The following is a 25,443-nucleotide window of genomic DNA, read 5'->3' on the forward strand; positions in this document are numbered from 1 at the left end:
TGGATTCAGCTGGGACTGGAAAAATAGTACTAACCATTTTTGAACCCTGCTTTGTGCCAGCCGATTAATATACATTATCTGTAATCCTTACTACACTCTTACAACATGCTATGGTTCCCATTTTACAGATAAGAAAGCTAACACTCCGTGAGTTAAATAGCTTGCCCAGAGATCATCTGGCTCATTAGGGTTGGGGCTGATATGTGACCCAGGCCTGACACCAAAGCTCACGGCCCTTCTAATACACAAAAAAAGGTTATTTACTCTCCTGGAAGATAAGCTCCATGAGAGCAATGGTCTTCGCCTTGCTCATTGATATATCCCAAGTGCCCAGAACAGTATTTGGCACATAGTAAGTACTCAATAAAAAGTTATTTAGTGGATTTTGCTTTGGTAACTTTTGTATTCCTAGGCTTCCCAATGTCAGAGGGAAAAATGACTCAGACAGTGGGCCACTGAGAACAGTGGGGTAACCCTCTGGGCGTGCTTCTGGTCCCTAACCCCCACAGCCTACTGTGTTTTGTTTTTGTTTTGTTTTTTGTTTTTAGAGACAGGATCTCACTTTTTCGCCCAGGCTGGAGTGTAATGGTGTCATCATGGCTCTCTGTAGCCTCCAACTCCTGGGCTCAAGGGATCCTCCCAACTCAACCTCCTGAGTAGCTGGGACTACAGGTGTGCACCACCACACCCAGCAAATTAAAAAAAAATTTTTTTTAGAAATGGGTCTTGCTATGTTGCTCAGGCTGGTCTCAAACTTCTGGGCTCAAGCAATCCACCTGCCTCTGCCTCCCAAAGTGCTGGGATTACAGGCGTGAAACACTGCACCTGGCCTCACAGTCTGCTTTGATGGGGGACATTAGGAGCAATATAGAAAAGTCTGAAAGAAAGTATGACCCTGGATTTATCTGTGTTTTCTGTTTGTATTTCTGACCTAAGCCATTTAGCCCTGTAAGAGGAGCAGATGAAAAGAGATTTCCTTAACACTGGAAAATCCATTTACTGGGACTAGGAAACAGGATGCTGAAGTCTTATATTGATATAGCAAAGAATGCTAATTTCCACTGGGTTTTCAGCCCCGGGGGTCAGAGCTTACCAAATCCTGAATCCATTCCTGTGCCTTTCTGTATAAAAATGCCCTGTGTCCTAAATCACCTAGTTGGCCTTCCAATCCCAGCAGGTGGTGTTATATAAAAGTGCAGATTTGAGGGAGTCTGATGGAACTGGATTCAAGTCTGGCTGGCCAGCTGTGTGACCGTGGACAAATTATTTAGGCTCTCAGACTCAATTTCCTCTGGAAAATATGAACACACACAAATGAAGAGTGATACATGTTCTGAGTGCCTGGCTCACTACTATGAGCCAGGGTAGTCATCGAATTTTAATTTTTCCTATCTTGTCCCTCCATTTCTCCCTTCCTTTTCCATGGAGCCTGGCACCAGCCTGCCCACCTGCTCCCTGCTAACCTTTGGGCTCAGTACATTTATAAAAGGGTCATAGCCCACTGTCTCCCCGTAGCGAAAGGCCCAGAGGCCCCAGCCTCCTGCAACTCTCCATCAAAGGGCATGCAGGGGCTCCATCATTTCCATGAGACAGGTTACCCTCTTGGTGCCAGCTCTAGGGCTTTGCTTGATATTTGAGCAAGAAGAGTCCTGGTGAAATAAGGCAGAGTGGAGGGTAGAGAGCTGCAACCACCTCACCTTGTTTACTCGTGCCCTGCATTCCTCCCCTGGGAGTAGCGGCTGTAGAAGTCAATGCTGGGAAATCTCTTGTTGATGGAGGGAGTCAGACTGGGTGACAACACTACTTGTTTTTGTAGAAGCTGTAGCCCAAGGGTGCTATCACTATTTGGTCACCCAGATCAACTGTCAGCTGCACTGGAATTGAGCTGCCCCTGGATAAACAAGCAAGAGAGTCTCAGGCTGGAATCTCCCCTGCTTTTCCCAGCACACACCCACGCAGAGACTTTAGCTGGCAAGAAGTGGCAGCTTAGCCAAGATAATGCGTGAACCAGAACTTGCCTTTCCTGGCTGGAAGGGGCTTGGCATTAAGTGCAGTTCTTGCTCCTGCTTCCTATAGATCACTTAAGTGCTCCAGGCTCTCTTGGAACAGGGGGAATTCTCTGGTCCCCTCCCAGTTTCTCAGGGATGGCATCCAATGATGGGAGATGGTTTCAGATGCAGTGACTTGCAGACAAGGGTGTGAATATTAGCTGAGAGTTCATGTGAACAGGCTTATGGCAGCATGGTTTCTGAGATGCAGCGACTTGTTGGTTTTGGCTGCAGCGTTTTCACTGAGCCCACTCATCAGCCTGCAAGCTACTTGAAAGGAGAGTGATGCTTTAGTCATTCCTATATACTCGGTGTTTAGCACAGTCTTTGGCTCATAGAATGAGGATCAGTAAAGAACGGATAGATGGGCCGGGTGTGGTGGCTCATGTTTGTAATCTCAGCACTTTGGGAGGCCGAGGAGGGTGGATCACCTAACATTAGGGGTTCGAGGCCAGCTTGGCCAACATGATGAAAACCCATCTCTACTAAAAGTACAAAAATCAGCCAGATGTTGTGGCAAGTGCCTATAGTCTCAGCTACTCAGGAGACTGAGGCAGGAGAATTGCTTGAACCCTGGAGGCAGAGGTGGCAGTAAGCCGAGATCATGCCATGGCACTCCAGCCTGGGCAGCAGAGCAAGACTCCATCTTAAAAAAAAAAAAAAAAAAAAAAGAATGCTTGGATGGATGGATGGATATAAACAAATAGAAAATTTTCTCTAAACAAACAGACCACAGTGAACTTTACCTTCTTCCTTCCCAGGGCCACCCTCCCTGCTCAAAACCTCATCATCTCATGCCTGAATAATTGCAAAGCCTTCCTAATGACAGGCAGGGTGGTCTAGAGAAGTGAGTTCCAGACTGGAAGTTGGGAAACCTGGAACTTGAGCCACTTAAGTTGTTCTGTCACTTTTGGGAAATCACTGAACCTTTCTGGGCTTCAATTTGTTCAGATGTAAAATGAAGAGTTAGGGCTAAATGTACTTCTAGGATGTTTCAACTCTAACATTCTCTGCTTCCTCCTACCCAAACAATGCTGCAGATTAATTATAGTTGGGTACCAACATTTAAAAGTAAGATCTCACTGCTGTCTTGCTCAGCTGGGCTTCAGTGACAGAGACTGGTGACATCTTCCTAGGAAGTTGGTGACCGGAGTTGAAACAATGGCCAGTTCCCCAGGAGACTTGGCTTAGGAATTGGTCTCCTAGAATTATTGAGCCCTTATCTAAGGAAGCTCCACCTTTCACTCTCCCTCTTCAAACTCATGCTGGGAGCTTGTGCGGCTCCCTGCAGCCCCGCTCTGTATGACTCTATGTGGCCACTATGCCAAGGTGGAGAGGAGGTCTGGACTGCATTTGGAATCCTGGTAATGGTGGTGATTCTCTTTTTACTTCTTTGTGGTGTCCAACATCCTCTAGTGTCACTGGCACAAAACAGGTCAGGCTATTGGAAGGCCACACTGCTTAACAACAATGTCAGGAGATCCAGGCTCTCAGCTATATTCAGATTAGTGAAGTGTACATTCTCCTAACTTGCTCAGCTTATCTCCTGCACCTAGTGCTATAAACAGTTGTGTTTCAGAGCTCCCCAGGCTGGCCAAATCCATAGTTCCAATCCCCAAAGTCCCTTGTCTAAATGGGGTCTAACTTCCGCCCCAGTTTAACCCAGGGCTGTTTCTGACTCAGCCCCTGTCATCCTGCCTGGGCCCTAGGCAACACTGCCTCTCTAATGCCCTAGCCAGACAGAGCATTCCTGTTTACCCAACTCACAGACTCTCCCTACTTTCTGAGTTATATGCTTTTCTTCTGCTAGTTGCTTTATAGCTTGGTCCATTATTCTGTGATCTAATCTACCTAGTTTTGTGAGGGGTTTTTTTATTTTGTTTTGTTTTTCATTTAAAAAGCATCTATATTTTCTTTCATCAGCTTTGCATTTATCACAGTCATCACTCCTCATTCAACACCCTTCCCAGCTTATACTCCCTTTTCTTTCTTTTTTTTTTTTTTTTCTGGAGATGGAATCTTACTCTGTCACCCAGGCTGGAATGCAGTGGCATAATCTCGGCTCACTGCAACTCCGCCTCCTGGGTTCAAGCGATTCTCCTGCCTCAGCCTCCCAAGTAGCTGGAATTACAAGTGCCTGCCACTGTGCCCGGCTAATTTTTGTATTTTTAGTAGAGACAGGGTTCCACCATCTTGGTCAGGATGGTCTTGAACTCCTGACCTCGTGATCCATCTGCCTCAGCCTCCCAAATTGCTGGGATTACAGGCGTGAGCCACCGTGCCCGGCCGTATATTGCCTTTTCATAGGAACGTTGACATAGTTAAACCCTACCTTATCGTATGATCATTCTTGTTTCAGCCACTTTTAGAGACACCACGTTTCGAGGAGGGCTTTTGTTGTTTTCTCGGTGTACTTTAATCCAAATGGCAAATTTTTAGCCAGGTGGTTATTTTTTAAGAATATTTACTTTTTTTCCAGAGTATAAAAGTAATATGTAAAAAGGATCTCACATATACTGAGCACTTACTATATTTCAGGCACCAAGACACATGCTAAAACTGCATGACCTCATTCCCTCCTCATGACAATCCTAATAAGGAAGGAGTCATTCCTATCTTCCCTTTCAAAAAAAGAAAGTAAGGCTCAAGAGATAAAATACTTTTATCCAAGTTCCCACAGCTACCAAGTGGTGGTTGTGGAATTCAAACCATGGCTCTCAAACTTCAGAGTCCAAGGGTGCAGTGGCACGTGTCTGTAGTCCAGCACTTTGAGAGGTTGAGGCAGAAGAATTGCTTGAGTCCAGGAGTTTGAATCCATCTTGGGCGATATAATGAGAACCCATCTCTAAAAAATAAAAAATATAAAAATAAAAAAACAGTCGACCAGGCACAGTGGCTCACGCCTGTAATCCCAGCACCTTGGGAGGCCAAGGTGGGTGGATCACCTGAGGTCAGTGTTCAAGACCAGCCTGGTTAACATGATGAAACTCCATCTCTGCTAAAAACACAAAAATTAGCCAGGCGTGGTGGCACATACCTGTAATCCCAGCTACTTGGGAGGCTGAGGCAGGAGAATCACTTGAACCTGGGAGGCGGAGGTTACAGTGAGCCGAGATTGTGCCACTGCACTTCAGCCTGGTGACAGAGCGAGACTCCATCTCAAAAAAAATAAATAAAAATAAAAAAAGATTCTGAGCTATGTACTGCCTCTACACAGGATCATCCTAGAAAGTGTGGAATATTCAGAAAAGCATGAAGAGAAAACTAAAACGTTCACAAGTCCAGACATAACTGCTAACATTTTGGTGTAGTCTCTTTTAGTCTTTTATATACGTGGGTGAGTATATACATTTTTTAAACAAAATTGGGAACACGTTGCATAATAAGATTTTGATTTAATTTTTTTTTCCTACCCAATACTAGATCATGAGCATTTTCCCACATCATAAAGAATTGGTCACAAGTCAGCCCCAAACATAGTCCAGTGGAATCCAATGATAGCAGGCAACCAGAGGCAAAGTATCTGTGGTTTTAGAAGGGAAATAAAGAAGCTGATGGGCTGGGCACAATGGCCCATACCTGTAATCCCAGCACTTTGGGAGGCTGAGGCTTGAGGCCAGGGTTTTAAGACCAGTCTGGGCAACTTAGTGAGACTCCGTCACTTAAAAAAATAAAAAATAAAAAAATTAGCCAGGTGTGGTGATGCACACCTGTAGTCCCAGCTACTCAGGAGACTGAGGCGGGAGGATCCCTTGAGTCCAGGGCTTTGAGGCTGTAGTGAGCTCTGATTGCACCACTGCGCTCCAGCCTCGGCAATAGAGCAAGAACTTCTCTCTAAAAAAAACAGAAAATAACAACAACAACAAAAAAAACAAACGGCTGGACACAGTGGCTCATGTCTATAATCCCAACACTTTGGGAGGCAAAGCGGGAGAATTGCTTGATCCCAAGAGTTCGAGACCAGCCTGGGCACCATAGTCAGACCCCATCTCTACAAAAAGTATGAAAATTAGCTGAGCGTGGTAGTGCATGTCTGTGGTCTCAGTTACTCGGGAGGCTGAGGTGGGAGGCTTGCTTGAGTCCAGGAGGTTGAGGCTGCAGAGAACCAAGATCGTGCCACTGTACTCCACCCTAGGCAACAGAGGGAGACTCTGTCTTAAAAAATTTAAATATATGAAGAAATGATTAGGAAAAAAAAAAGTGCTGATGGCCATAGCCTTTGCTTTGGAAGCTGACCACCTGGAGCCAGCCTAGGTGGTGCACAGGGTCTGATCCTGGGATGAGAAATCAGAGAGGGGAGAAGGCTTGGAACTCTTGGGTCACCTTTGGGAGGTACTTTCCTCTATGTGTCTGGATCTCACATGAAGGTGTGAGAAGATGGGCAGGCCAACTTGTGTTTGAAGTGGGAGTCAAAATGTAAAGTGGCTTTTACACAGGCTCAGCTAAAGGCCAGGCTTCTAGAATAAGATGTGGAACACCCTAAATAAAGCCCCCTGTAAATCTGTGAGTGAGATTACTCATTCATGGTGGAGAGGCTGGCTCCTGCTGGTGATTTGGGTTCTCATGCTGGCCTGTGATTGGAGAGAACCATAAAGATTTCCTGCCTTCATTCTCTTAAATGTATATGTGTGAAAGAGAAGCTAAGTATATTTTATCTGCAGCTATATTTTTAAAGAAAAGAAGTGTTTTTTTTAAAAAAAAAATCCAAGAATAGCACAAGAAGGGGCAGAGAGAAAGGAAGATCTGGAGGCTGTCACCAGCCAAAAGATAATTAGCAACCATGGGGCTGGGGACAAAGACAATGTCTAGTGTCTATGATGGGACACTAGATGGGAAAGTCCCTGTGCTTGTGGTGGGCCACTTGACACCCCTTGGCAGTTAGGTGGCTTTGGAATGACAGCCCGAGGTGCCAGCCTCTTGGAGGTTGTACCAACTGACTGCTACAAATTCAAGAGTGATAAAGAGTACTGGTGGCCTCCATGACAGATACAGGCTTGTCCAAGGCACCTGTTCGGTGCAGGATCCAGGGCCAGGACATGGAGTCTTGGGTTCACCCATGAGCTGGTACCACCTTTTGCCATGACTCTGGGGAAGGCTTGGGCTACTCTGTGCTCGTAGTTTGTCCCCTGGCCCATACCAAGGTTTCACCCCTCCACCTTCCTCCTTTCTGGGCATCTTGAGGACAGAAATGAGAAAAATGGAGAGAGATGCTTTGGGTTTCCATTATGAATATAGAGAGTTTTTCATCATTACATTGGTTATCTCAGAACCTCAGGGGTAACCAATGTAATGCAATGCATGGGAAGGAAATGGGGTATTATTGTTGAACATGCCACTTAACTGCTGCAGCCTTTTCACTCTCCTTAAAATATCAGATAATATCCTCTTGAATACCTTACAGGGTAAGGTAAGTGACAAGAATCACTTGAAATACTGGATATGAAAGTGCTTTGTATATCATGGAGTGCCTACAAATATACAGATTCGTATTTATGGAGATTTTTGCATGGGAAAGTCCCTCCTTACTCCCCTGAGGTTGGGGAGACCATTCATTTCTCCAGCTCCTATAAAATTTGAGTCCTCTTTCTTGAGTAGGGTGGCTTCTCTCCACGCTGTAGAATGGGAGAGTGAATTCCAGTTAAGTGCGAATGATGTGTTCAAAGTGGGTGAAAAATCTTGGAATCTTGGGGCATTAAAAAGAATTCCTTAATTTATTTCCATTCTTGACCAAGCTAGTAGGTAACAGTGTGACCTTGAGCAAGTCACTTAACCTCTGAGCCTCACTTTTCTCATTCGTCATTAGTTTGTATCCACAAATGATAGTTATGATAATCTAAGGAGAGAGTATGGAATCTAAATGGAAGTGCTTTGAAAAGTTAAAAGTGCTTCACTTTAGGGTGGGCGTAGTGGTTCACGCCTATAATCCCAGTTCTTTGGGAGGCTGAGAATAGCTTGAGCCCAGGAGTTCGAGACCAGTCTGAGTAACATGGGGAAACCCCATCTCTACCAAAACCAAAACAAACAAAACAAAACAAAACAAAAAAATAGCCAGGCCTGGTGATGCATACCTGTAGTCCCAGCTACTCAAGAGGCTGAGGTGGGAGGATCACTGAGCCCAGGAAGGTTGAGGCTGCAGTGAGCCTTAATCATGCCACTGTACTCCAGCCTGGGCAACAGAGACCCTGTCTAAAAAACAAGCAAAAAACCAAGTGCTGTACTTTACAGACCAGAAAAATTGAGGTCACGGAAACTCCACAGCCCCCACTCGTACCCGGCCAGGCATGTCACACTCGCCACTCTGGGGCCCAGGGTCCCCATACGCTAAGTAGGGTGTGCTCCAGGTTACCTCCCCTTCTTCCAGAGCTGCTGAGGACTAATGAGAACACTCACTTGTAGACGCTGTAATAGCCTGTTTTGAAGCATCTCAGATTTACCCCAGCCTTCCCTTCCATGGTGATGTAAACGGAGTGGCTTTCACGCACACATCCCAGAACCAGCCCAGTTTTTGCCCTTGTCCTCTGACATAATGCATGCATTGATCAATAGACATTTATCAAGCATGCCTGCCCCGTAAAGCTTGGAGCGAGGCCCTGGTCCCCTGGGTTTTGGCAGCTCAAGGACGGGCGCTCCCGGGGAAGCTGTGCTGAGAAGTCGGCTGAGCCACTGAAGCCACAGGGTTTGGTTTCAGGGAGGCCAGGTGAGGGGCAGGGTGAGAACTGGGAGGGTTCCCCAGGTGTGTTCCCCGGGTTGTGGTGTGGTGTGATGTGGTGGGGGACAGGACGAGGGTCCCTGGGGAGGGAGAGAGGTGCTTGGCTGGCTGGGTCGAGTGAGTCATCGGCCCCCTCTGAGCAATCGCTGCTGCCCAGGTGGAGTCGGCCCGCCTTATTTGGGGCTTCTGTGCTGAGCCAGGCCTCCAGGGCTAAGGCGTTTGTTTCCCCAGCTGCTTCCCGGGCCGCGCTGGTAGCCAGCTGAGCCCGGCGCCTGCGGCTGAGTTGCACCGCGCAGAGGCCGGGGGAGCTGCAGGTCCGAACTCGGCCGGCCCGGGGCGAGGGCGGGCGGGGAGCGGGGCGGGCTAGGGCGAGCGAGGCTGCCACACCCCCGGGACTCGCTGGTGCGAGGCTCAGCATGCCGGCTGCGGAAGTCCCGCACAGGGCAGCTTCCAGGCCTCCTGTCCCTAGAGCAGTAAATGCAGATCAGCACTTCTGCCCCTCACTGTACTCCCACTCTCATCCCCTTCCTCCCTCTACCACCACCAAAAGGCCAGAATTTTTAAGTTGATTGATATTTTTTTATTAGGATAATAAAGTCAGATGCAGTATATTGTGTATGTTTTTTTGTTTCGTGTTGCGTTTTTGTAGAGATGGGGTCTCACTGTGTTGCCCAGGCTGCTCTCTTAATTCCTGGGCTCTAGTGATCCTCCTGCCTCGGCCTCCCAAAGTGCTGGGATTACAGGCATGAGCCACCATGCCTGGCCTTGACTGTGTTGTTAAATGGCTATTTTAGACCATGAAATTTTCAACAAAAGTTCTTATTTAAGAGTCTTGATATTTTTAGATAGTTCCATGGCTGTCTTTGATCATACAAGTTAAAAAATGTTGCTGGTAGAAATAGGAACCATTTTTTTTCTTCTCTCTCTCTGTCTCTGTCTTTCATTTCTAGTTCTATCTCTTTTGTTTATTTCTCAGATGCACAAAATTGGATGAGTCAAAATCTACAGTTCATTTTCTTGACTGGTTTATGCATGCCTCGCTTTTACTGCTTATTTATATATGCTATTAATGTTTTTTATTAACCTAATGAACACACTTGAACCCACCACCCAAAAATGAGATCACTATCATTTATTTGCATCCACCTATGACCCTTTCCTATCCCATCCCCCCACCTCATCACCCAGCCAAACCACTGTCTTGGGCTGTAATGTTGTATTCACCATTCTCTTGATAACCATATGTATGCCTAAAGAAACATATTATTTGTACTTGCTTTATATGCTTTATCTAAAAAATATACTAGCTGGGCACAGTAGTACGCACCTGCAGTCCCAGCTACTCAGGAGGCTGAGGCAAGAAAATCACTGAGTCCAGGAGTTTGAGGCTGCAGTGAGCTTTGATTGCACCACTGCACTCCAGCCTGGGTGACAGAGTGAGCCTGTATCTAAATATATGAACACACGGCTAGGCACGGTGGCTCATGCCTGTAATCCCAGCACTTTGGAATGCCGAGGCAGGGGGATCACCTGAGGTCAGGAGTTCGAGACCAGTTTGGCCAACATGGTGAAACCCCGTCTCTACTAAAAATAAAAAAAAATTAGCCAGGCATGGTGGTGGGACGCCTGTAGTCCTAGCTACTCAGGAGGCTGAGGAGAGTCTCTTGAATCTGGGAAGTGGAGGTGGCAGTGAGCCAAGATTGTGCCACTGCACTCCAGCCTGAGTGACAGAGCGAGACTCTGTCTCAAAAAAAAAAAAGCAAAACAAAACCCTTTAGAGACAAACAAAAACAGAGGTTTCTACCAACAGACTACTCCACTAAAGCAACTTCTTCTTTTTTTTTTTTTTTTCTGACACAGAGTCTCACTCTGTCCCCTAAGCTGGAGTGCAGTGGCACAATCTCAGCTCACTGCAGCCTCCGTTTCCCAGGTGCAAGCGATTCTCCTGCCTCAGCCTCCCAAGTAGTTGAAATTCAGGCACGCGCCTCCATGCCCGGCTAATTTTTTTGTATGTTTAGTAGAGACGGGGTTTCGCCATGTTGGCCAGGCTAGTCTTGAACTCCTGACCTCAAATGATCCTCCCACCTCGGCCTCCCAAAGTGCTGGGATTACAGGCGTGAGCCACTATGCGAGGCCTACTAAAGCAACTTCTAAAAGAAATAATTCAAAAGAAGAAAAATTATAAGCATACCTTATTTTATTGTACTTCAGACACTGCCTTTTTATTTTATTATTAAATAAATTGAAGGTTTGCGGCAACCCTGTGTTGAGCAAGTCTGTTGACGCCATTTTTCTATCAGCATGTGCTCATTTCATGTCTCTGTGTCACATCTTGGTAATTCTCATGATGTTTCAAAGTTTTTCATTATTATTATATGTGTTATGATGATTTGTGATCAGTGATTTTTTGGTGTTACTAATAGAATTGTTTTGGGGTGCTACAAATGGTGCCCATATAAGGCAGCAAACAATCAACAAATGTGTATGTTCTGACTGCCTCACTGACGAGCTGTTCTTCATCTCTCTCTTTCTCCTGGGGATTCCCTATTCCCTAAGACACAACAATATTGAAAGTAGGCCAGTTAATAACCCTACAATGGCCTCTAAGTGTTCATGTGAAAGAAAGAGTCACAGGTCTCTCACTAGAAATCAAAAGCTAGAAATGATTAGGCCTACTGAGGAAGTCGTGTTGAAAGCTGAGATAGGCCCAAAGCTAGGCCTCTTGTACCAGTTAGCCAAGCTGTGAATAAAGGAAAATGTTCTTGAAGGAAATTAAAAGTGCTACTCCAGTTAACACACAAATGATAAAAAAGCAAAACAGCTTTATTTGCTGACAGGAAGGAAGTTCAAGTGGTCTGATTAGAAGATCAAACCAGCCACAACATTCCCTTAAGTTGAATCCTAATCCAAGGCAAGATCCTAAATCTCTTCAATGTTGTGAAGGTTGACAGAGGGGAGGAAGCTGCAGAAGAAAAGTTAGAAGCTAGCAGAGCTTGGTTCTTGAGGTTTAACGAGAGAAGCTGTCTCCACAACGTAAAGGTGAAGCAGCAAGTGCTGACATAGAAACCACAGCAAGTTAGTCGGAAGATCTAGCTAAGATAATTGGTGACAGTGGCTATGCTAAACAACAGATTTTAATGTAGGCAAAACAGTCTTCTCTTGGAAAAAGATGCCATCTACGACTTTCATAGCTAGAAAGGAGAAGTCAATGCCTGGCTTCAAAGTTTCAAAGAACAGGCTGACTTTCTCATTAGGGGCCAGGGCAGCTGGTGACTTCAAGTTAAAGTCAATGTTTACCATTCTGAAAATCCTAGGGTCTTTATGAATTTTCCACCCCTCAAGGTTCAAGTGATTCTTCTGCCTTAGCCTCCTGAGTAGCTGGGATTACAGGCACCCGCCACCACGCCCTGCTAACTTTTATATTTTTAGTAGAGACGGGGTTTCACCATATTGGCCAGGTTGGTCTCAAACTCCTGACCTCAAGTGACCCGCCCTCCTTGGCCTCACAAAGTGTTGGGATTACAGGCGTGAGCCACCACGCCAGGCTTCTAGGGCCTTTAATAATTATGCTAAATCTATTCTGCCTGTGATCTATCAAAGAAACAACAAAGCTTGGATGACAGCTCATCTATTTACAGCATGGTTTGCCAAATATATATATATATATATATATATATTTTTTTTTTTTTTTGAGATGGAGTTTCGCTCTTGTTGCCCAGGCTGGAGTGCAATTGTGCGATCTCAGCTCACTGCTATGTCTGCCTCCCGTGTTCAAGCAATTCTCCTGTCTCAGCCTCCCGAGTAGCTGGGATTACAGGCGCATGCCCCCATGCCTGGCTAATTTTTGTGTTTTTAGTAAAGACAGGGTTGCATCATATTGGTCAGGCTGGTCTCGAACTCCTGACCTCAGGTGATCTGCCCACCTCGGCCTCCCAAAGTGTTGGGATTACAGGTGTGAGCCACCGTGCCCGGCCAGTTTACCAAATATTTTAAGCCCACTGTTGAAACCTACTCCTTTCAAAATACTACTGCTCATTGACAATGTACCTGGTCACCCAGGATCTCTGATGGAGACATACAAGGAGATGAATGTTGTTTTCATGCTTGCTAACACAAAATCTATTCTGCAGCTCATGGAACAAGGAACAAATTTGACTTTCAAGTCTTATCATTTAAGAAATGTATTTTGTAAAGCTATAGCTGCCATAGACAATGATTCCTCTGATGGATCTGGGCAAAGTGAATTGAAAACCTCTGGAAAGAATCCACCATTCTAGAGGCCATTAAGAACATTCAAGGGCTGGGAATGGTGGCTCATGCTTGTAATCATAGCATTTTGGGAGGCTGAGGCATGAGGATCACTTGAGCCTAGGAGTTTGAGACCAGCCTGGCAACACAGGGGGACCCTGTCTACAAAAAGTGAAAAAGTTAGTCAGGCATGGTGGTGTGCTCTTGTGCTCTCAGCTACTCAGGAGGCTGAAGTGAGAGGATCGTTTGGGCCTGAGAGGTCGAGGGTGCAGTGAGCCATGATTGTGCCACTGCACTCCAGCCTGGGTGACAGAGTGAGACCTCGTCTGGAAAAAAAAAAAAAAAAAGGAAAGAAAAAGATATTCATGATTCATGGAGGAAGTCAAAATATCAACATTAACAGGAGTTTGGAAGAAGTTGATTCCAACCCTCATGGCTGACTTTGAGGGGCTCAGGATTTCAGTGGAGGAAATAACTGTAGATGTGGTGGAAATAGCAAGAGAACTAGAATTAGAAGTAGAACCTGAGGATATGACTGAATTGCTGCCATCTCATGATAAAACTTGAACAAATGAGGAGTTGCTTTTTAGGAATGAGCAAAGAAAGTGGTTTCTTGAGATGAAATCTACTCCTGTTGAAGATGCTGTAAATACTGTTGAAGTGACAAAGGATTTAGAATATTACATAAACATAGTTGATAAAGCAGCTGCAGGGTTTGAGAGGACTGACTTCAATTTTGAAAGAAGTTCTACTCTGGGTAAAATGCTGTCAAATATCAGTCCTTCATGGGGATGTAAAAAAAAAGAGGCCAGGCACGGTGGCTCACGTCTGTAATCCCAGCACTTTGGGAGGCCAAGGCAGGCGGATCACCTGAGATCAAGAGTTGGAGACCAGCCTGGCCAACATGGAGAAACCCTGTCTCTGCTAAAAATACAAAAATTAACCAGGTGTGGTGGTGCGTTCCTGTAATGCCAGCTACTTGGAAGGCTGAGGCAGGAGAATTGCTTGAACCTGGGAGGTGGAGGTTGCAGTGAGCTCAGATCATGTCAGTGCACTCCAGCCTGGGCAACATAGCAAGACTCCATCTCAAATAATAATAATAATAATAAATAAAATAAGAAACAAAAGGAAGAAAAGGAAAAAATGCTGTCAAATAGCATCATATGTTATAGAGAAGTCTCACTAAAAAGTCAATCAATGCAGCAAACTTTATTGTTGTCTTATTTGAAGAAATTGTCACAGCTACCCCACCCATCAGCAAGCAGCCATCCACATTGAGAAAAGACCTCTCCACCAGCAAAAAGATTACCACTTCCTGAAGGCTCAGATGATCATTAGCGTTGTGTTTTGTTTTGTTTTGTTTCTGAGACGGAGTCTTGCTCTGTTGCCCAGGCTGGAGTGCAACGGTGCGATCTCGGCTCACTGCAACCTTCGCCTCCTGGGTTCAAGCGATTCTCTCAACTCAGCCTCCCGAGTAGCTGGGATTACATGTGCCACCACGCCCAGCTATTTTTTTTTTTTTTTGGTGATTATAGATTAATATAATATACAGCCATCCTTAAAGCCACAACATATCACAGATCACAAAAGTGCTTTCACCAAGTTACAACCCTAACACCTTACTTTTTTATGTCATCTAACTGCAAATAAGTTTCTCCTCAGAGAATCAGTGCAGTCTTCTTTATCCTTTTAAAACTTAGCTGGAGCTGCTTAAACTAATTCTTAATACCATTCTGAAACTAGAAATATACTGTTTAGAACACAGAAATGCTAAGAAAGTACAAAGACTTTAGTATTTTTTTTCATTTTCATGATTCAAGTAGAAAACAGTGCCAAGTAGGTATTATTCTACATGGTAAATGGAAGAAAAAAATGTTTAGAATGTGAATTCACTAGACCTTTGCGGTATTCAGAAGTTAAGGATTTCACAGGTGAAAAGATTTCTCTAAGAGTTCTGAACTTTGCGTCTTCTCACATACTTTTAGTGTAAACACTGTAAACTTAACATCTGTATTAATGCTGTCTTTTTAGGATTAATGAATAACGAGGTAGAAGATACTTCATTTAAATTCTCAGACACATAATTAAGTGTGTATTAACCTTTTTGAAAGGCATTTTCAACGGAACTGGTGGTTTTTCAGGAAATTGCTGAATACCCACGCATAAATGCAGATATTGATGAAGTAGGATATTTGTATATTTGCTTTTTTTCAATCATTCAATTTTATGAACATGGGGTCTAAGCAGATTTCAAAACAAAGACCATTTATAAAACTGGACCATTTTAATGTTTACAATGTAATAAATCTCTTGATTGCAGACATATATGGCTGTTTGGTAGAAACATTACAGTAATGGCAGTTTTTTCAGTTGGTGTGTAGTCCCCAATAATTATATATGAAATTGCTGTCAAACCAGTAAGACTGCATTTATGCAGCCATCATTTTCAGGACTGTTGGTAACCTGAGCATATTTTCTCCAAATAACTTTGCCTCCTTGTGTCACAAGGCCCAATTCGCTCACATTTACCTCAATGACAATATCTTTGGTAATAACACCCACAGTTGTATACGGTGGGGATGAGGGATTCTTCTTTACACCAAGTATTGGTGGGCAAAAGGTGGCTTTCAGTTCAAGATGTAATACATGGGCTTTCTTGAAATGCATATTGGCCTGATCAGTCTTTCTTATTTAGGTGGTTTTCTTGTAAAGCCATCTCCGACAAAGCAGAGTTTAGTAACCACCCTCTTCCATGCCTTCTTCTTTCTCTTTCCTGTTCAAACAACTTTTAATACGTCTGTTTCTCCCTGGGCATGTACTTTAGTCAGAGGGACTTCCCGTTTTCCCACCTTCTCTTTTCATTTCTGTTTAATCATATTGGAAAGTACTTTGGCTCGAGATTGTCCCTCTCTGTCCAGCAGATAAGCAGGTACTGCTCCCTGTGGAGTCTTTTCATCCTTCTTTTGTTTGGTGTTTCTCTTTTCATGCATCTTGATAGTCTTTTTCATTTGTATTTTCTCAGCATGACACTGTTTAAGGTAAAGCTTAGCCTTCAGACCAATCATTTGCTTTGCCTTCTTTGAACGTTCATGAGCCTCTCGTTCATAAGCCTCTCAGCTTTCCTTCTTTCTTTTCTTCTCATGGTAATCCAAACGGTATCCATAGTGTTTATGGTGTAATTCAATATATTCGTTCTGTGGCATGGTGACAGGCGCAGAACCACCAGGAGTAGCCCCTGAGGTGCGAAAACACTCTCAATTTTAAGGTCTCAGAGACTCCACGCAGGCCGGGACAGGAAAGGGTCACCCTTTTTTAAAAATATTTGTAGTAGAGACAGGGTTTCACCATGTTGGCCAGGCTGGCCTTGAACTCCTGACCGCAAGTGATCCGCCCCCCTCAACCTCCCAAAGTGCTAGGATTACAGGCGTGAACCACGGCCGATCATTAGCATTTTTAACACAAAATATATTTTAATTAAGGTAGTCACATTGTGTTTTTTAACCATAAAAACACTTAATAGACTATAGTATTGTGTACACATAACTTTTATATGCACTGAGAAACCAAAACAATAATAAATAACCAGGAACTTGCCTTATTGCAGTGGTCTGGAATCGTACCTGCAATGTCTCCAAGGTATGCCTGTACTAAAAGGAAAGTCTAAGATTCAAGAAGGGATGATGGACTGAGCACTGTGGCTCATGCCTTATAGTCCTAGCACTCTGGAAAACCAAGATGAAAGGATCTTTTGAGCTCAGGAGTTCAAGAACAGCCTGGGCAAAATAGAGAAACCTCATCTCTAATAAAAATTAAAAAAAAAAAAAAAAGCCTGGCATGATGATGCAGGCCTGTAGTCCCAGCTACTTGGGAGACTGAGGTGGGAGGATCACTTGAGCCCAGGAGATTCAGTCCGCAGTGAGCTATGATGGCGCCACTGCACTCCACCCTGGCCAACAGAGGGAGACCCTGTCTCAAAAAAAAAAGAAAAAAAGAAAAAGAAACGAAGACGGGATGATGAGCAAATAAAATGGTAAACATGGAGTGAAATCTAAATATTGATGTCAAAGACAAGAAATATCAGAAATATAACAATGTCTAATTGATAGGAATAAAATGAAGATATAATTTAAATCCTCAGTAACTATAGTATATAAATTGGAAGGTAAGGCCAGGCATGGTGGCCCATGCCTGTAATCCCAACACTTTGGGAGGCTGAGGCGGGTGGATCACAAGGTCAGGAGATCGAGACCAGCCTGGCCAACATGGTGAAACCCCGTCTCTACTAAAAATACAAAAATTAGCTGGGCGTGGTGGTGTGTGCCTGTAATCCCAGCTACTGAGGAGGCTGAGGCAGGAGAATTGCTTGAACCCAGGAGGTGGAGGTTGCAGTGAGCCGAGATCGCGCCACTGCACTCCAGCCTGGGTGACAAAGTGAGACTGCGTCTGAAAAAAAAAAAATTAGAAGGTGAATATAGTAATTGGAGTTTAAGTGTTCTAAGGTCCTTATATTTTCTAGGGAAAAAATTAAAGATATTGCTTATTAGAAGTCTTTATGTTAAGATTTCTAGGCTAATACTAAAAAACTTGGTATAATATAACTTCCAAACTAGCAGAGGGGAAGAAAAATGAAAAGGAAACACAAATGAAAATGATAGAAAATGTGTCAGTTAAAAAAAAATTTATGGTTGTGATATCGAAGAAAATAATAAAGATTACCATTTCTTGAGTAGCTCTTGTATTAATCACTTTGAATCATTAATCTTTATAATTTCATGTAATATATGTCAGAATGACAAGCCCAAAGCAGGTATTTAAAAATTATAGTTTCTGGCCAGGTGCAGTGGCTCACACCCATAATCCCAGCACTTTGGGAGGCAGAGGTGGGAGGATCACTTGAGCCCAGGAGTTTGAGACCAGCCGAGACCACACAGCAAAACGTTGTCTCTACAAAAACATTTGAAAATTAGCCAGGCATGGTGGCACACCCCTGTAGTCCACAAAGGAGGCTGAGGTGGGAGGATCACTTGAGCCCAGAGGCTGAGGCTTCAGTGAGTTCTGATCATGCCACTGCATTCCAGCCTGAGTAACAGAGCAAGACCCTGTCTCAAAAAATAAAAATAAAAATTAGCTAGGCATGTGGGGGAAGCCTGTAGTTCTAGCTACTGGGGAGGCTGAAGCGGGAAGATTGCTCCATCCAGCCTGGTTGGCAGGGTGAGACCCTGTTGCTAAAAAAAATATATAAAAAGCTGGGTGTGGTGGCTCACGCCTGTAATTCCAGCACTTTGGGAGGCCAAGGCAGGTGGATCACAAGATCAGGAGTTCAAGATCAGCCTGGCCAAAATGGTGAAATCCTGTCTCTACTAAAAACACAAAAATTAGCCGGGCGTGGTGGCAGGTGCCTGTAATCTCAGCTACTCGGGAGGCTGAGGCAGGAGAATCGCTTGAACCTGGGAGCTGGAGGTTGCAGTGAGCCAAGATTGTGCCACTGCACTCCAGCCTGGGCGGCAGAGCAAGACTCCATCTCAAAAAAAAAAAAAAAAAAAGAAAGAAAGAAAGAAAGAAACTTGTCCAAGGTCACAGAGCTTGGATTCCAATCCAAGTATTTGAAATTCAACCCAAGCTACTTTTCCCTTTACCATGTGGTAGATTTTTTCTCTCTAATGCCAAAACATCATGTAACAGCCAAGACCATGAGTTTTTTGGACCTGGGTTTATGGTCCAGTTTCACCACAAGTTAACTGCAGAGCTTTAGGCCTCAGTTCCTTCAGTTGTTGAAAGAGGATAAAAATAGCTATCACAAAAGGTAGTAGGTTGGAAGATCGTGAGAATGCACGCCATTGGGGTGAGAATGTATCACTTGGGGTGGTGGAGATAAAAAATGAGGTCCCAGTTCAATGTAACAGCCGATGAATAGGCTCCTAGGGAGCAGTAAGAAGAGAACGGAGGTGGGGGGTGGGGGGAGGCCTGGGCACAGTGGCTCACGCCTGTAATTCCAGCACTTTGGGAGACCGAGGTGGGCAGATCGTGAGGTCAAGAGATCGAGACCAGCCTGGCCAACATGGTGAAACCCCATCTCTGCTGAAAATACAAAAATTAGCTGGGCATGGTGTGAGCACCTGTAATCCCAGCTACTTGGGAGGCTGAGGCAGGAGAATTGCTTGAACCTGGGAGACGGAGGTTGCAGTGAGCCAAGATCGCACCACTGCACTCCAGCCTAGCAAGGGTGAGACTCTGTCTCAAAAAAATAAATAAATAAGAAGAAGAGCACAGGGACTGGGCACGGTGGCTCATGCCTGTAGTCCCAGCACTTTGGGAGGCCGAGGCAGGCGGATCACTTGAGGTTAGGAGTTCGAGACCAGCTTGGCAACATGGTGAAACCCTGTCTCTACTAAAAATACAAAAATTAGCCGGGCATGGTGGGGTGGCCCTCTAGTTCCAGCTATTTGGGAGGCCGAGGCAGGAGAATTGCTTGAACCCAGGAAGCAGAGGTTACAGTGAGCTGAGATCGCGCCACTGCACTCCAGCCAGAGCAACAAGAGAGAAACTTTGTCTAAAAAAAAAAAAAACTTTCCCAAGGTCAAATGGGTAGTGATCTGGGATTTGGGCTGTCTGTCCACAGAGCTTATGCTCTTAATCTCTGCACCATACTTTAAGAGGTGAATGATCACTGAGAAAGAGAGCTCTCATGTCTGGAAAGCACCTCAAAGGCAATATTATGAAAAAAGTGTGGCTTCTGCCAAAGTCGGGTTTGGATTCTGGCTTGGCTTCTTACTGTGTGAGCCTAGACAAAGTATTTAGCCAGTTTTCTCCTCTGTAAAATGGGAGTGATACGACCCATTTCCCAAGGTTGTTGAGAGGATCAAATGAGATACTAATACAGAGTGATCAAAAAGCCTGGAGACTTAGTTCCCCATCTTGGGTCAGGAAAGCCTTAGCTGTACCTGCTGTAACCAGGTGCCTGTGTTCTCTGAGCTGATGATGGGGTGACTTTGGGAGAGGAGAGGATGAACACAGATGCCTTTCTCCTGCTCTTTGAAAAGGTGATTTGTCTACCCTATGCCCACCACCCTCAATGCACTCCCACCATTGTCTCCTACCACACACAAGCATGCTGCATGGTATTCAGAAAGCCCAGTCTGTTTCTCCACCCCTTTGCCTTGTCACTCAGCTTTGCCAGGTCCCTTGAGTTCTTTGATGTTGTGCCAGGCTCTGTGTGGGCTCCCAGCCCTGGGCGTGTCTGTGGTGACTGACCTGTGCCCCACTGGCCTCCACCTCCATTACCACAATGGATCTGAACTCTCGGTGACAGCAGCTGCTGGTCCACATCTGGAATTTAGCTCTGCTCTTCCCTTCTCCACCCTTCTCACCTGTCTATACCAGGATGACTCTTCCATCTGCTCTTCTTCCTTCTCCTATTTTTATTTATTTATTTTACTGTGATAAAATATACAGAACATAAAATTTGCCATCTTCACCTTTTTTTTTTTTTGAGATGGAGTCTCACTCAGTTGCCCAGGCTGGGGTGCAGTGGCACGATCTCACTGCAAGCTCTGCCTCCGGGTTTCACACCATTCTCCTGCCTCAGCCTCCCGAGTAGCTGGGACTGCAGGTGCCTGCCACCACGCCCGACTAATTTCTTTTTGTATTTTTAGTAGAGACAGGGTTTCACCGTGTTAGCCAGGATGGTCTCGATCTCCGGACCTCATGATCCACCCGTCTCAGCCTCCCAAAGTGTTGGGATTACAGGCATGAGCCACCGCTCCCAGCTTATCTTAACCATTTTTAAGTAGACCGTTCAGTGGTACTAACTACATTCCCAGTGTAGGTTTCCCATCACCATCATCCATGTCTAGAACTTCTCCTTCATCCCAAACTGAAACTCTGTACCCATTAAACAATAATGCCCATTCCCCACTCCATCCAGCCTGTGGTAACCTCCACTCTACTTCCTGTCTCTATGAATTTGCCTATTCTACATACTTCATATGAATAGAATTATACTGTATTTGTTTGTGTGTGTGTGACTGGCTTATTTCACTTAGCATAATGTTTTCAAGGTTCATCCGTGTGGCAGCATGTGTCAGAACATCCTTCCTTGAATAATAATTCCATTGTATGGATGTGCCACACTTGTTTGTCCATTCATCTGCCCATGGAGGCCCTCCTTTTTTAAATCACATTTTTTGGGTATATCATAATTTGCAGTAATATGAAGAGAATAGCCTACTCTTTCCTTGTAGCAGGAAACTGAGGAGGGTCACTCTCCCAGATAGTGGAAGGCAGGTGGAATTGAGTGTGCTGTTTATAAACTCTGTCCTGAGGTTTTACTCTTCCAGAGGTCTCTTTTCTCGACAAATACTTAATGCGCATGACATCACCTGAACCCAGAAGTGCTAGCTAGAGAGAAGTGATTATCTGGGGCCAGAACCTTGCATTTGCTTGCCTTCCTAGGGAAAGACCCTATTGTTAACCCTGGAGATTCCCTCCTTTCAATGCTGAAGGCCTTTAAAGGGTCTAGAGACTGTAGAGCAACATTTTGTTTCCTGTTTATATTTTTTGGGTTTGTGTTTGCTTTTGTTTTTTGCATTTCTTCCCCTTGTCAGTCTTTGTCCTTCCTGGTCCTGATGCACTTCAATATTTCTGGATGTGCTGTACTATAATCATAGGCCTTCTTAATATGGGTGTATCCTGTCTTCTTTATTTAGAATTCTGCGGACTGGGAATTCCCTAAGGGAAAGAGCCTTCTTCCTTTCTTTTTCTAATCTTCCTCCACCCTTTTTTGTTCTCCTCCCTTTTGTACCTCCACAACACACCAGGAGGTGTACCGCCTCCATCTAGACCACAAACTGTACTCTCAGGGTACCCATGGCCAAGAAGAATGACACACACACACATCACACATACATTCAGCATGTCTCACTGTTACCTCTGAGAGGAAGTAGGAGAACCTATATTAATCCTCTGAGCTCATCAGGACAGGAATCCCCAGCTCCAATGTCCTGGGTTGGGCCTAGAATTATCCCACTATTTTCTACAGGCTGCTCTCTCTCTCTCTTTTTTTTTTTTTAAGCAAGGTCTTGCTCTGTCACCATGCTAGAGTGCAGTGGTGTGATCATAGCTTACCGCAGCTTCAAACTCCTGGGCTCAAGCAATCTTCCCTCCTCAGCCTCCTAAGTAGTGGGGACTACAGGCACATGCTACCACACCCAGCTAATTTTTTATTTTTTGTAGAGACGGTGTCTCACTGTATTGCCCAGGCTGGTCTCAAACTCCTGGCCTCAAGCGATCCTCCTGCCTCGGCCTCCTGAGTCTCTGGGATTACAGGCATGAGCCACTGTGCCCAGCCTCTTCTCTCCAATTTCTTTTAGGACCTTGTAGTATGGAGTATGCCTTAGCTTCTTCTAGGCTCTTCCTGTGGTTGCATGGCCTTAACTGAGTGAGTCACTTCACCTTTAAGACCATATGCTCTAAAATCTGTCAAAGAATGATATTGTCAGTCCTGTCTATCTTAAAAGATTGTTGCAAAGATCAAATGTCAGAGTGCTTTGAAAACTGTGAAGCATTATCCACATGTGAGTTCTTAACAGAGTTCCTTTACTCTCATGAACTCTTTCTGTCTTTTTACTTAGTCTTGCTGACACCACTTAAAAAGGAACCTCAGACAGATAGATTCCCCAGATATAGCTGCAAAAATTAGAGATTCTGGAGAAGTCTGGGAATGGGGAGTACCAATGTCCTCCTGGTACACAGAGCCAAGGGTCCAGATCCAGGACTGGAAAGTATAGGAACACGGTGGCCAGAGGCACGGGGAGGCTCTGACAGAGGGGCAGGAGCAGTTTGCCTCCACTGTTCAGTGGCTTCTTAAGATACTTGATCTTCATCCAAGGGCAAGGGCCTTTGCACATGAAAAAAGTAATAATCCTTTCAACTTTGGTATGGGGTAGATGACTTTTTGATCCCCATTTTTTTAGATGAGGAAATGAAGGCTCAGGGAGAATGGATTTGGAGGAGGTTTGGCTGAGAGGCACTGGTGCTACTTGGGAAGGACTTCATGGGAGAGCCTGTGAGCTGTGAGGGGCAGGAGCCTGGCCCGGGTGCAGGGGCCCCACGGGGCTGGCCACTTTGACATCTTCAGCTCTGGCTCTGGTGCATCCCCATGTCAAACTGGATTCACTACTGGTTTTCTTCCTTAGATATTTTTCAGGATTTGGTGACCCAAGGGAATGCCAGGTTGACAGTTAACTGCACCTGCTAGTCCTTAAGGTACTTTTATTTTATTTTATTTTATTTTTGAGACAGAGTCTCGCTCTGTCACCCAGGCTGGAGTGCAGTGGCGCGATCTTGGCTCACTGCAAGCTCCGCCTCCCGGGTTCACGCCATTCTCCTGCCTCAGCCTCCCGAGTAGCTGGGACTACAGGCGCCTGCCACCGCGCCTGGCTAATTTTTTGTGTTTTTAGTAGAGATGGACTTTCACCGTGGTCTCAATCTCCTGACCTCGTGATCTGCCCACCTCAGCCTCCCAAAGTGCTGGGATTACAGGCGTGAGCCACCGCACCCGGCCCTTAAGGTACTTTTAAAGATTTTAGAAAGGTGAATATAGCCCACAGGAGCAAGGCCCATCTGGCAAAACTTAGGGTGGATTTCATCTCCCAAACCACCTCCTTACCTGGTGCCCATGTTCAGGGCACATGCTACCTGACTGTATGTAGCAGCTCTGAAAAGAGAAGGTTCCCCTCTGCTCAGGGTGAGCCCTTAGTGGGAGGCCCACGCTGTGATGAGCTCTCTCCTGCAGCAGCTTGATGGCCACAAGCTGGCAGCAGGGGAAACCCTAGAGGTTTTGGGTAGGCACAGGCTAGCAGGCGTGGGAGATGTTTCTGCCCTTCCTTTGACACCCAATACAGATTTCTTTGCCTCAGGTGTCTCTGCCCCTGTCCTGCTTTCCTGTCAAGATTGTGTAGCCTTGGCCGGGCTCGGTGGCTCACGCCTGTAATCCCAACACTTTGGGAGGCCAAGATGGGCGGATCACGAGGTCAGGAGTTCAAGACCAGCCTGGCCAATATGGTGAAACCCTGTCTCTACTAAAAATACAAAAATTAGCCAGGCACAGTGGTGCGTGCCTGTAGTCCCAGGTACTCAGGAGGCTGAGGCAGGAGAATCACTTGAACCCGGGAGGCGGAGGTTGCAGTGAGCCGAGATTCACAGCACTGCACTCCAGCCTGGTGACAGAGCTAGACTCCATCTCAAAAAAAAAAAAAAAAATTGTGTAGCCTTTTTATCCAGTGCTCAGCACAATATTTTGCTAATACATGCTTAAATGTAAAATGAGGGGATTTGTTTAGACTTTTCCATCTACGTGGCTATGATTATGGGATTCTTGTTTGATGTAGTTGGTGGGAAAAGCAGAGGACATGCTCCCTGAAAAGACCAGGAACTTACTGGCTAGTATTGTTACTGGTGATAAAATTGTGACAGGTCTGACCTGCCTCCTAGCTTGTGGTCAGCCTACCTGCTTTGAGAAGGTGGTGGAGCATACGTGGTAATTAACCTACAGTGGTGCCACAGTTGCTGCTTCTGGGTAGAGCAGAGCGGTGAGCAACTCTGTCTCCTTTCCAAGCTGGCACCAGCTCAGGAGGAAGCATCCAAGGGGATTCTCATAAGCCACAGAGAACTGCCCATGAGTATGAAAGGGAATTCCTGGGCCAGGTGGCCACACTCAGCTGACAGCTCCTGCTGGGAGGAATGGTAGCATTTTGGTTTCTTACAATGTTCTCCATCTGGCTCCTTTGAAATGAGAGTTGAAAGGGTCCTGACCAGGGGACCTGCAGGAGGTGGACAGCAAGGCAGGCCTCAATTCTGGAAACAGCACCTCCACACATCACTTCTGGGGATAATTATCTCATCTGCCCTCTTTCAGGCAAAACTCAGAGTCTTTGGAGGGCCTTCGCTTTCCCAAAGTAGCTTAATTTTGGCCCCCGTTCTTCGTGCCTCCTAGGTTTTGTTGGGTGGACATTTAACATAGTAGAAAGCTGACTCCTCTTCCTATTAACCTCCTAGGTTTATCTCACCATCTGAATAGGGCCTTATAATCCTACAAATGAGGCCTCTCTCCCTATGCTCACCAGGAAAAATTGAACTCTCAAGACTGTCCATTTTCTTTGCCCTGTTATGGAAACTTCTCTTCCTTTTGCCATATCCCCCTCTTATCTTGGCTCTTGAAACTATTCCCTTAGGAAGAAAAAGGCAGTTCCCTTCCTGCCCTTCTTTTGAACCAAACTTCTGTTTGTGGTCTTGGAAACCATGACAACCTGGCCTAAGAAGCCACTTTGACCATCTTGGAAGTTAATATTTCAGTGCTGTGTACTCACAATTGTGAGCTCTCTAGCACCTTTTTGCTTTTGTTTTGTTTCGTTTTAAGATAGGGTCTCACTTTGTCATCCA

General features: G+C 45.2%; 1 protein-coding gene and 1 pseudogene across 4 annotated transcripts in view, besides 1 other annotated feature; one reads left to right on the forward strand and one right to left on the reverse strand.

The window, feature by feature from the left end:
• Positions 1–25,443, forward strand: part of ATP2B4 (ATPase plasma membrane Ca2+ transporting 4) — a 117,250-nt gene that overhangs the window by 14,721 nt on the left and 77,086 nt on the right. The window lies entirely within an intron of this gene.
• Positions 8,980–9,149: a silencer, noted in NCBI's record as "silent region_1724". NCBI's record gives its function as "represses an Ori minimal core promoter by ATAC-STARR-seq in GM12878 lymphoblastoid cells {active_cell/tissue: GM12878}" and the evidence as "EXISTENCE:reporter gene assay evidence [ECO:0000049][PMID:35858748]".
• On the reverse strand, positions 15,673–16,308 carry NSA2P1 (NSA2 pseudogene 1; annotated as a pseudogene).

Source organism: Homo sapiens, chromosome 1, assembly GCF_000001405.40.
Source record: "Homo sapiens chromosome 1, GRCh38.p14 Primary Assembly".
NCBI lineage: Eukaryota > Metazoa > Chordata > Mammalia > Primates > Hominidae > Homo > Homo sapiens.